The 12693-nt window shown below is 36.9% G+C and overlaps 1 annotated feature.

Annotated features, from left to right (window-relative positions):
- Nucleotides 2873–3374: an enhancer, noted in NCBI's record as "H3K27ac hESC enhancer chrX:121247261-121247762 (GRCh37/hg19 assembly coordinates)". NCBI's record gives its function as "activates a minimal SCP1, AML or CMV promoter by ChIP-STARR-seq in naive H9 embryonic stem cells {active_cell/tissue: H9 hESC(naive)}" and the evidence as "EXISTENCE:reporter gene assay evidence [ECO:0000049][PMID:30033119]".

The following is a 12693-nucleotide window of genomic DNA, read 5'->3' on the forward strand; positions in this document are numbered from 1 at the left end:
TGATCACCCACACCACAGTTCACTTGTAAACCAGAGGTTCCATGCTAGGAGCAGCGAGCCAAGAACACTCGGGACTGCTATTCCCATTCCCCTGCACATCGAGCAAGAATATCCCTCTGGGAAAAGCAAATTAGTATTTCTCCCACAGGCTCCAGGGTAGTAATATAAATGTTGTATCCGGGAGGACAGGCAGGTTTTATAAAAGGGGAGCTTGAAGCCCTGTCTGAGGAGATTGTATTATTTATAAGAAAACCTAAAGAAATTTATGTTTAAAGGTGTTATTGAAAACAATGGTGACAAGCAATTAACAGAGTCTGATAGTTCCAAGATACTAGTACAATAGCCTCTAATTATCCATGGGGATTATATTGCAAGATCTCCAGCAGATACCTGGAATTGCACATAGTACTGGATTTTATAACAAAGGAATCTTCTTTGTTGTTTCTTTCCCTAGTTCTGCCTATAACATTTCTAGCTATTCTCTTTTTTCTGAGGAACCCCAATTATTTTCAGTCTAACATTGTTAGACTTTATAACAAAGGTATCTTCTTTGTTGTTTCTTTCCCTAGTTCTCCCTTTGACAATAATTGGGGTTCCTGAGAAAAAAGAGAATAGCTAGAAATGTTATAGAAAGAACTAGGGAAAGAAACAACAAAGAAGATTCTAAACAATGTTGTTAGACTTTATATAACAAGGTTGTGTCACTATTATCATTGAGAATTTTTTAATTTCCATCTTGATTTCATTGTTTACCCAATAATCACTCAGAAGCAGGTTAATTTCCATGTATTTGCATGGTTTTGAAGGTCTCTTTTAGAGTTGATTTCCAATTTTATTCCACCGTAGCCTGAGAGAGTACTTGATATAATTTCAATTTTCTTAAGTTTATTGAGACTTGTTTTGCGGCCTATCATATGGTCTATCTTGGAGAAAGTTCCAGGTGTTGTTGAATAGAATGTACATTATGCAGTTGTTTAGTTCTGTAAATATATGTTAAGTCCATTTTTTCTAGGGTATAGTTTAAATGCATTGTTTCTTTGTTGACTTTCTGTCTTGATGACCTATCTAGTGCTGTCAGTGGAGTATTGAAGTCCCCCACTACTACTGTGTTGCTGTCTATCTCATTTCTTTGATCTAGTAGTAATTGTTTTATAAATTTGGGAGCGCCAGTGTCAGGTGCATATATATTTAGGATTGTGATATTTTCCTGTTGGACTAGTCATTTTATCATTATAAAATGTCCCTCTTTGTCTTTTTAAACTGCTGTTACTTTAAAGTTTGCTTTGTCTGATATAAAAATAGCTACCTCTGCTCTCTTTTGGTGTCCATTTGCACAAGATGTCTTTTTCTACCCCTTTGCCTTGAGTTTATGTGAGTCCCTATGTGTTAGATGAGTCTCTTGATGGCAGCAGATACTTGATTTGTGAATTATTATCCATTCTGCAATTTGTATCTTTTAAGTGGAGCATTTAGACTATTTACATTCAATGTCAGTATTGAGATGTGAGGTACTATGCCATTCATCATGCTATGTGTTGTCTGAATACCTTGTTTTTTTAAATTTATTTATTATATTTTGGTTTTATAGGTCCTGTGGGATTCATGCTTTAAAGAGGTTCTGTTTTGATTTGTTACCGGGATTTGTTTCAAGATTTAAAGCTCCTTTTAGCAGTGCTTGTAGTGCTGGCTTGGTAGTGGCAAATTCTGTCAGCATTTGTTTTTCTGAAAACAACAACAACAACAACAACAACAACAACAAAACTATCTTTTCTTTATTTATGAAGCTTAGTTTTGCTGGATACCAAATTCTTGGCTGAAAATTGTTTTCTTTAAGGAGGCTAAAGATAGGATCCAAATCCCTTCTAGCTTGTAGGATTTCTGCTGAGAAATCTGCTGTTAATCTGATAGGTTTTCCTTTATAGATTTCCTGGTGCTTTTGCCCCACAGCTCTAAAGGTTCATTCCTTAATGTTGATTTTGGATAATCTGATGACTACATGACTAGGTGATGATCTTTTTGGAATGATTTTCCAAGGTGTTCTTTAAGCTTCTTGTATTTGGATGTCTAGATCTCTAGCAAGGCCAGGGAAGTTTTCTTTGACTCTTCTCCTGAAAATGTTTTCCAAACATTTAGATTTATCTTCTGCAGGAATGTATTTATCTTCATCAATGCCAATTATTCTTATGTTAAATCAGGCCATTTAACATAATTCCAAACTTCTTGGAGGCTTTGTTCATTTTTTGAAATTCTTTTTTCTTTGTCTCTGTTGGTTTGGGTTGTTTCAAAAACCTTGTCTTCAAGCTCTGAAGTTGCTTCTTCTGCTTGTTCAATTCTATTGCTGAGACTTTCCAGGACATTTTGCATTTCTCTAAGTGTGTCCTTTATTTCCCGAAGTTGTGATTTTTTTTTATTTAGGCTATCTATGTCATTGAAGATTCCTCCCCTCATTTCTTGTATCATTTTTTTTTTATTTCCTTAAGTTGGACTTCACCTTTCTCTGGTGTCTCCTTGATTTGCCTAATAATCAACCTTCTGAATTCTTTTTCTGACAATTCAGTAATTTCTTCTTGGTTTGGATCCATTGCAGGTGAGTTAGTGTGATTTTTTTTTTTTTTGAGTGTGTTAAAGAACCTTGTTTTGCCATATTACCCGAATTGTTTTTCTGGTTTCTTCTCATTTGGGTAGCCTATGTCAGAGGGAAGATCTGGGGCTCAAGGCTACTGTTCAGATTCTTTCATCCCACAGGTTGCTTCCTTGATGTAGTACTCTCCTCTTTTTTCCTAGGCATCTGGCTTCCTGAGAACCAAACTCTGGTGACTGTCATTTTTCTTTTGGATCTAGCCACCCAGCAGGGCTGCCAGGCTCCATGCTCGTACTGAGGGTTGTCTGCACAGAGTCCTGTGATGTGAACCATCTTCGGGTCTCTCAGCCATCAGTCCCAGCACCTGCTCCAGTGGAGGTGGCAGGGGAGTGAAATGGACTATGTGAGAGTCCTTAGATGTAGCTGTTTAATGCGCTAGTTTTGTGCTGGTTGGCCTTCTGCCAGCAGGTGGCTCTTTCAAGAGAGCTTCAGCTGTGGTAGTACAGGGGAGGATCAGGCAGTGGGTAGGACCCTAGAACTCCCAAAAGAATATTACCTTGTCTTCAGCTACCAGGGTATGTAGGGAAGGACCATCAGGTGGGGGCAGGGTTAGACATGTGTGAGCTCAGACTTTCCTTGAGTGGGGCTTGCTGCAGCTGCAGCTGCTGTGGGGGATGGGGGTGTGGTTCACAGGTCAATGGAGTTATGTTCCCAGGAGCATTATGGCTGCCTCTGCTGTTTCATGCAGATTGTCAGGGAAGTGGGGGAAAGCCAGCAGTTACAGGCTTCACCCAGCTCCCATGCAACCCAAAAGGCCAGTTCCACTCCCACAATGGCTCCCCGACCCCCGCAAAAAAAAACAAAAACAAAAAACAAAAACACCGAGTTTGTTTGCAGGCAGTGGGCAAGCAGGGCTGAGAACTAGCCCCATGCTATCAGCCTCCTGGCTGAGAAAGTAAACAGGGCATTTGTGCCTTCCCACCTGTTGAGTCTGAACACCAGATTCACGCTCTCCCCTGAGTTCTGGCCAGGAAATTTTGTATTCAGTAGGAATTGTTATAAAGGTCAGCTTGAGGTTTCCTTCTCCCTGTGGTCTTTTCCCAGTTCCTCTGGCAGCCATCCCCAAGGACCCCTGTGAGACAAGTCAGAAATGGCTTCCCTGGGGACTGAGAGAGCCCATAGGGCTTTTCCTGCTGCTTCCTCTTCCCCTGTATCTCACTTGGCTCTCAAAATTGTTTCAGCTCCGGGTAAGGTAAAATCCTCCTGTCATCTGGACCTTCAGGTTCCCCAGTGAGGGTGTGTGTTTGAGGGTGGATGATCCTCCTTTCTCATTCTCACAGTTTGGGCACTCACAGTATTTGGGCTATCTCCCAGGTGCTACAGGAGCAATATATTATCTTCAAAGGGTCTATGGATTTCCTTGGCTTTACTAGTATATTCCTGCAGTAGTTCTTGGAGAAAGAATTTATGATGCGAGTCTCCACACACTGCTCTGTCTGTCTGAGTGGGAGCTGCAATTTAGTCCTGCCTCCTATCTGCCTTTTTTCTTGTTCCCTGATCGTTCCTTCTTGCCTATGTTGCATAGCAAGAACTCTGTCTTTACTGTAATCAGATCCAACAAACTCTGCCAATATATTATTATTTCTTTTCCTAATGGTCTTCCTGTGTCTGGAAGCCATGGCTTCGTGGTTAGTTAAAACCTTACTGCATTCCCTGCTTGAAAAATTCTTCCTAAGTTTGACAGGGCTAGAAAACACAAATTCCCTGACTGAATACTTGGGTTTATAGGTGAGAAAATCCAGTCCTACTTTCGCTCTTTGTTTCCCTGTATTTTAGTTGCTGGGGGTGCATAACCATGTATTACCTATTGGTCCAGTAGAAATACTGGATTCTGGAGGACAGTGCTCTGACACGGTAAAATATTTTCCTGGAGATGAACCTTTAGAAAGGTGTCTAGCTGCTTCCTTGTGATGAGGTATATTGTGATTTTTATAGATTCTTCAGTGAGACAACACTTGTCATAACTCTTTCACTGTAATATGGATCCCTTAGTCTAATATAATATTGTGAAGAGTATCACACTGGTAAATAAGGCATTTCATAAAACTTTGGACATTAGTCCTTGCAAAGGTACTTAGGCAGATAAGGTAAAGCCACACAAAGAATGAATGCAAAATTCAAGAAATAAGAATTCTAGCTCTCTCTCAGGTGAAAAGTGGTGTAACAGACACGCCACCATTTGGCAAGTTGGTCTCCTTAAAAGATAATAACACCTTAAGAGTTCAACATTTTCCTTTAATGTTGGCATATTGCAGTAGCACTAGCTAGATCATCCTTGGTAAGAGAGATAGCCTTCATGCCTACCACCCTAACTACCCCATTCATGGGTCCATCAAGCAAACACTAAGGCAACTGAGGAGAGGACCTGGCTGACATATGAAGAGAAATTCTGTATACATGGTTGTTATGTGACTCCTCTTCTACTTGATGTTCTGAGTAGCAATAAAAGTTAAAAATAAAAATTCCCACATTTTTTGCCCATTTCGAAAAAAATACATCATGCCTTTTCTATAAGCTTCCTTCTCTCAGATCTTCCGGTATTGTTTCTCAGAAGTCCATGGATAACCTTCCTCAGGCCATTATGTCAAACATGCAAAGTAAACAAGTGTCACACTGGTAGCTCTATCTACTGACAAAGGTTCCCATTCATCATTGTCTTTTAGATCCACTCCTGAGCGAGGCCATATTATGGCAGTAGACTACTTACAGCTATCGTCAACTTATCAAGCCCATCTATGTTTCAGTCGTTCCAAGGAAATTCTCTATGATAAACTGCCGTGGTCACTTCCTTTTTGGACTCTACAAACACATGTGCATCCATTCAGGGAAATTTACTCTCCTCTATTTTATTTTTCTCTTTCTAAAACTCATAATGTCTTGATTTTGCCTCTAATTCTTTCCTGGTCTGTATATCTTAGTATTTATTTCTTTGTCATTTTTTTTTCTAATTTATGTGAAATTTCACCAACTTTGTGTTCCAATCGTTATATTGAATCTTCATTTTGGATATATATTTATTTAAAGAGTGCTTTAGTTTTAATAATATTACAATTTCATTTGTATAGCTCATTGTTTTTGTTTCATGGAGGAAATATCTTCTCTTATAGCTCTGATGTGATTGGTCCAACATTTGCTTTTAGTTTTACTTCTATTCCCTCAATATTCCGTTCTTCAAATTAGTTTTTGAATAAATGGGTTATAAAAATTTTCCAATATCTTCTGTTTATCTGTACATTTACAAAACATTTTTCTGTCTTGTTTCAGTATTAGAGTTTATTGTCTAACATAACAGTTTTTACTTTTGTACAGACCATGCTCTATATTTTCGTATAAAACTATGTATATAAATCATAGTGTTCTGCCCCCAAACTTAACATAATTCCTTTTCTTTCACCTTTTCTTGGACACTTTACTGACTCATACTAGAGTTGATTCTAAAATAAGCAAATTTAGACTGTTTCTTTCACCAGCAGTTTTCAATGTAGCCCCTACTCCATGTTGTGGAATCCCTGTTTCCTTTTTCAATTCTTGGCAAGCCTAACTCTCCTGGGCTATGGCAAGGGCTGTGAGAGCAATTCAAGCAGTGGAATGCAAAAACAGAGTAATAATTCACCTTTTCCCAACAATAGGCCTCTGTTATGGGTTGACTTCCAAGCAATAACACTAGAGTGGATTAATTTGACAATGTATATATAAATCTGCATGTTTTATTAACTAATTACTAAGTGTTTCTTTTTTCCCTCCATTCCAGATCTGATTTTCCTGCTGGCCTTTATCCTTCTCCTATACCTAACAGATTTATCTCCACTCAAGACATTTTATTCAACGAAGAAATTCTCCAATCAGCTACATAAGCAGTATGAGCTTGGCAGCTGTAGTATAGACTTTTACTGAATTCCCGTTTTCAAAGTGGCACCCTTGCCTCCATTAATTTCCAATATCCCTGAGTCCAGATATAATATTCCTGAGTTCAGAGCCTTTCTGAAGCAACATATTCAATATGTGACCTCTAGTCTCAGGGCTGTTTGTTGGAGAAAAGGATCTGTAGGACTAACTGTAAAATATATGCACTTTCAACCAACCCTCTTGTTTATCAGCCTTTACACACACCACCAGTTTTGAGGTATTATGTCTCTCAGACTCCTGAAACTTTCTAAGGCTCTATAGATCTGATGGCTTTATTTCTTGTTGCCACCCCTCTCACACACTCCACTGAAATCTTTGCCTTCTCTAATCCATCCCCCCACCCCCCGCCCGTCTTCTGAAGTTAATGTCTAAATGCCTGTTTCTTTATTGCTATTTTAGTCAGGTTTCAGGAGAGAGTGAACAAAGATAAATGTTTGTATTATATTAACATATTTATCCAGAAGAATTCAAACACGTTGTATCTATATCCTGAAGATAACTTTATCAGATACGTTTCATTTAAGAATTAGACATGCATATAATTTTGTAATCTCTCCAGTGGCTCACTGAGCTAAATGAATATAAAGATGATCTGTGACATCTATCATCTCATTCATATTTAGGGTTGATTAATTAACCTAGTGAGCTATGTTGTTATCCACTTTTTTTTTCATAATAGCAACAAGTGAGTGCATTTATGCTCTAAACAAAAAATATGCCCAGACAGAGGAGAGTCCTTCTTCAGCCAAGTATTCATAAATATACAGGGCTTTGCTTAAGCTTCCAATGACCTCAATATCTCACAGGCAAATTATTTTTTTATTGGCTAGTATACTCTGAATCTTGATCTGTACTTGCATTTAAGTTTTAAAGTAACAACTGAAAAAAAAACAATCTAGGGGCTTACGTTTAAATATTATATCTATACGTATCAATTTTCTTTACAAAAATCTATCCTGTGAGATTTTACATAATTTTCAAACAGTTTAAGTCACTAGTCAAAATTATAACAGTCACAGGAAAGTAGATCAGATAGGAAAAACTGTTAAACTCACTTGAATGTTTTCAACAAGATTGACTATTCTGTTTTTAGAAAAACTGTTTTGCACTTCTCTTCACTATTTGACATCATCCTTTCTTTCAAATCTTATCTCTTAACTATTGCTCCTCAAGAATGCTACACTCCAGCGAATGTTATCAATATTTTTCTCTATCTGTATTTTACCATCCTGATTTCATATTTTCTTCCCATTATTTATTAGGATATTCATCTACCAACAACCTTCACGAAATTAAAATCTTTCCCTTCTCTAAGGTCCAATTAAATTGCCACTAAATGGCCACATAGCATTCATCCATCCTGAAACGATCCCAACTTATCCTGAAATTCCAGGATACCATTTTTATACCATTTTCATAGCTCCTACCTTGTATTACATCTATTTATATGCCTGCTTTATATTATTAGTTTAAATAACTAAAGCAGGTTGTTAAAAAAAACTTGGACTATGCAGTCAGATAAATCCAGGTTTGAATTAAAGCTCTGCCATTCACTATCTGCATGACTCTGGGTAAATCACTGATTTCATTATGAGCACCAAATTCAAGATTTGTAAAAGTGAAATAATAATAACGGTCTTGTAGGCTTCCTTTAATGATTAAATGTGATTGCATAATCTTAATACATACTACAACATTATGAATAATAATAAATGGTGGTTGTAAATTTGTTATTGTTTCTTCTAGGCTCTAAAAGGCTACATATGGAACCATGTCTGTTTTATTTTTAATTTCTCCCATATCACCTAGAAAAAAGGTATACATATAGTTTGCCTAATGACTGAATCAATCCCCTTAAAAGTGTTTTTAATCTGTAAATGTGATTGGGAACTTTTAGAATATATCGAGGATATTTTAACCATGATAGCCTCTGGCCCAGAAATAACAATCATAAATGAAGTGCTCCATGACTTAACATTTACTTCCAGGATTTGTTTCCATCTTATAATACTATGTATTTCCAGGAAAACTCAAAAGATACACTTTCATGTGTTCAAGTTATTTGTGATATATATATACATGAAATCCTAAGTCAATGTGGCCCTACCAAAAGGAGGGAAAAAATAAAAACTTGTACTTTCCTTTTAAAAAATCAATTTGTTCTCTACTTCAGCCATAGATACAAAAAATAATTTTTGTTGAAAAAATAGAGATATGGAGCATATTAATACTTTCAGACACTATCAGCAGAAGGCCAGAGCATGTGCTATGATTCCGTTGGCTGGAAGTTTGCACTTTATAGCCCTGCCAGAGAACAACCATGCAATGATTAGTATTCAACCATAGAAGGTATTTCCCCATTTCTGTTCATGAAACTTTTTAAAGCATAGATTTATTTGTCACAGATGTAGATACTTGACTTGCTTACAAAAAGGTATTTGTGTAAGCTTGCCAAGGAGCACATGTGACTGTCTCTGAATGAATGAGCAGTGTCATTACTGTCCTTCAGGGAGAGCACCTGCTATGGTGTCATCACCAATTAGCTCTTCTCTTTCTTCCCTTCTTCATCTCCAGTAGACATACTCTTCAGTTATTTGTATTTTAAAGCTTCACAGGATTGGTTTCCATGGGGAATTATGTGAATTATAACACTGATGAGCTTTCTAAAATGTGGCTCCTTAGTTAAAGAGAGTACACATTTTATGTCCTCTATGACACACTCTATGCGAGCAAAAGTATGTGTGTTTTTCTCCCAGGTTTATTGACATATAATTGACAAGTAGAAAATGTACATATTTAACATTTATAACTTGGTATTTTGATATATTTATATATGATTAAATAGTCACCACAATCATGATAATTAATATATTCATCACCTTACATAGTGACCATTTTCCTTATTTTTTGGTGGTGAGAACACTTAAGATCTACCCTTTCAGCAAATTTCAAGTATGCAACAGTATTGTTAACTGTAGTAATCATGCTGTACATTAGAGCTCTAGAACTTATTCAGCTTGAATAACTGAAACTTTGTACCCTTTCACCAGTATCTCCTCATTTATTCGTTCTTATAACCCAGCCACTGACAACCAACATTCTACTCTCTGCTTCTACAAGTTTGACCATTTTAAACTCCACATATAAGTGCAATCATGTAGTATTTGTCCTCCAGTGTCTGGCTTATTTCACTTAGCATGATGTCCTAAAGCTTCATCTATATTCACAATAGCCAAAATATGGAAGCAACCTAAATGTCCACTGATAGATTAATGGAAAAAGAAAATGTGACACACACACACACGCACACAATGAAATAGTGTGCAACCTTATAAGAGAAGGAAATCAAACATGGTTTTAAAAAGAAGTTTACCTGAGGATGTTACAAGTCAATTGTTAAAACAGTAAAATTCTGTGACAGACTAGATTGTTTTATAATTGGACATTGAAATTCATCCCCCACTCCTTACCCTAGTGAAAAAAAATTGACTTGAAAGTGGCTTCTAAGTAATTAGGAAAAGTAGGTTTATTCCCCCAAGCAGACCTTGGATGAGTATTGTGATATTCTCCTGATACAGAGTTGCAAGTCCGAATGAGAGATTGCAATGTAGTCACAGCATAAGCAAAACAAACAGCTGGTTATGAATGTGATTTTCTTGATCCACACAGTGTCGATCTACACAATGTTTTAATTTTTATTTAGTTATATATTTAAAATTAGGGAATTTCACATAATTTACCTAATTGGCTTTTTTGAACAAAAACAATGTAGCACTTGGTAGCATTGGAACTATATTCCTATATGACAATGTTTGGCTAGGACTGGATAATTGCCTTTAAGAGAGGCCCACCCTCTCTTCTCTTTCACAGTCTTCATTATTTCCTATTCTTTCTCCATCTCTAATGCTTAGTGTTGATTGCTATTTATAAGATGAAATATGGCCTTTAAGTGTGCAAGCCTTGGTACAATGTCTATGAGGTGCTTTTGTTGTATCTTATATTTCAGTTTCAAACAATAAATGTCTAGATGTATGGGTCTTTGTATGGAGAAAATAAAAGTCATCGGTATAGCCACATGTATTAATTTCCTATTGCTACTATAACAAATTTGTACACACTTAGTGATTTTAAAAAGCACACATTTATTCTCTTACAGTTCTGAAGGTCAGATGTCTGAAATTTGAATCTTACAGACCAAAATCATGGTGTGGACCAGGATAGTTCCTTTTGGAGCCTCTGAAGGGAGAATCCATCTCCTTGCCATTTGCATCTTCCAAAGGGTGCTATTGGCTAGTGCTTTGTACATCTCATAACTTCAACCCCTAGTCTCAGTGGTCACACATATTCGCACTTTGAATCTCTTACCTCCCTTTAATAAAGACCATTGTGATTACATTAAGCCCATCGGGATAATCCAGGATAATCACCTCATCTCAAAAATTTCAATTCGGGCTGGGAGTGGTGGCTCACGCCTGTAATCCTAACACTTTGGGAGGCCAAGGCAGGCAGATCATCTGAGGTCAGGAGTTCAAGACCAGCCTGGCCAATGTGGCAAAACCCCACCTCTACTAAAAATACAAAAATTATCCGGGCATGGTGGCAGGAGCCTGTAATCCCAGCTACTTGGGAAGCTGAGGCAGGAGAATCGCTTGAACCCAGGAGGCGGAGTTGCAGTGAAATGAGATCGTGCCACTGCACATCAGCCTGGGAGATAAAGCGAGACTCTATCTCCAAAAAAAAAAAAAAAAGAATTTTAATTTAATGACATGTGTAAAGTATCTCTTGTGTAAGATACTTGTGTGAGATAACTTATTCACAGGTTCTGGGGATTAGGATGTGGACACTTTTGGGGAACCATTATCCAGCCTACCAAATTATGTTCATTGCTCAGACCAACAATTCATAGAGATGAATTGATTGGTGTGAAAGGTTTATTTTAGTAAAGACTTTTAAGCTCATAAACAAATCTCTCATGATGAAGTAGCACAGAAATAGGAAGAGACAGGAAGCTATCTTTAGACATTCAACCAAAAAGTGCTTTTAATTGTGTTCAAAAATTTTGTAATTTAAAAATTACTCAAAATGATAAATTTATGAAAAGCTTTACCTTATACATCACAAGAAAATTGTAACTTTTGTCAATATTTTGATTACCAACGTCTCCCTTTAGAAACTTTCATTCAATAAGACATTCTCAGTTCACTCTTCCACTTCTTTTTTCATCTGTAAATGCAGCAATGAAGGATAATTTCTTAAAAAAAATTGTGCTTACAAAAATATCTAACTGTTCCTATGGATCAGAAATTGAAAAAAAGCAAAACATTAAGCTAGGGTTTACAGTATACTCTACTGAGCTTAAGCGCTGGAAGCAAGTAGAAGTGACTCAGAGTTTGATTACTGTAGAGGCCAGAAATACTGCTGGGAAGACTAAAGAAAGGCTCAGTGAGTGAAATCAGGCAGGGCTTAATATGGTGTTCTCCCCACCATGAAAATATTTGGTTAACGTTGTCCTGGAAAATTGTTTTTTTACATAATTTATTAACTGAAATGGTGGGTAGAAGCAGAGAAAGTTGTCAGAAAAAAATGACCTGTGTTAGTCAAACTGAAAGCTTAGTGACTGTGTCTTAGCCTGGATCTTCCAGGAAATAGAGCCTGAGGCAAAATGTTATTTTTCTTTATTATTACACAGTGTGAGCTTAGGAATGGGAGTAAGAGAAAAAGACGTAGGCACAGAAGAAGAAAGATTCAGTATCAGCGTGAGATGCCAAATTTGTCACCACTTGGTACTGAATACAACTAGATTTGTACAGAATCTTTCTGCAGAAAGCGAAATAATTACTTCATAGAAAAGTTCATCTTGCGGAGACAGAAATGTTTATATGCCATCTTCTATCTCTCATTGGTAAAAGTGTTACCCCTGAGATATTAATTCTAACACTTTGATAGTACACGTACTCATCCAAATGTCAGTGTCAAGAAGGCTTAGCAAAGGAATTGAAAGATGTAGTAAATAAATGATGTGAAGTACATTCAGATAGTTCACTTTTGAAGTTAGTTACTGAAGGTAACTGGATTAAGAATGACTGGCCAAAGGCCCTAAAGACAAATGAGGCTAAAAGAATCTAAAACAGTATATAAAAGCTCTT

This window comes from Homo sapiens, chromosome X (genome assembly GCF_000001405.40).
Source record: "Homo sapiens chromosome X, GRCh38.p14 Primary Assembly".
Lineage (NCBI taxonomy): Eukaryota > Metazoa > Chordata > Mammalia > Primates > Hominidae > Homo > Homo sapiens.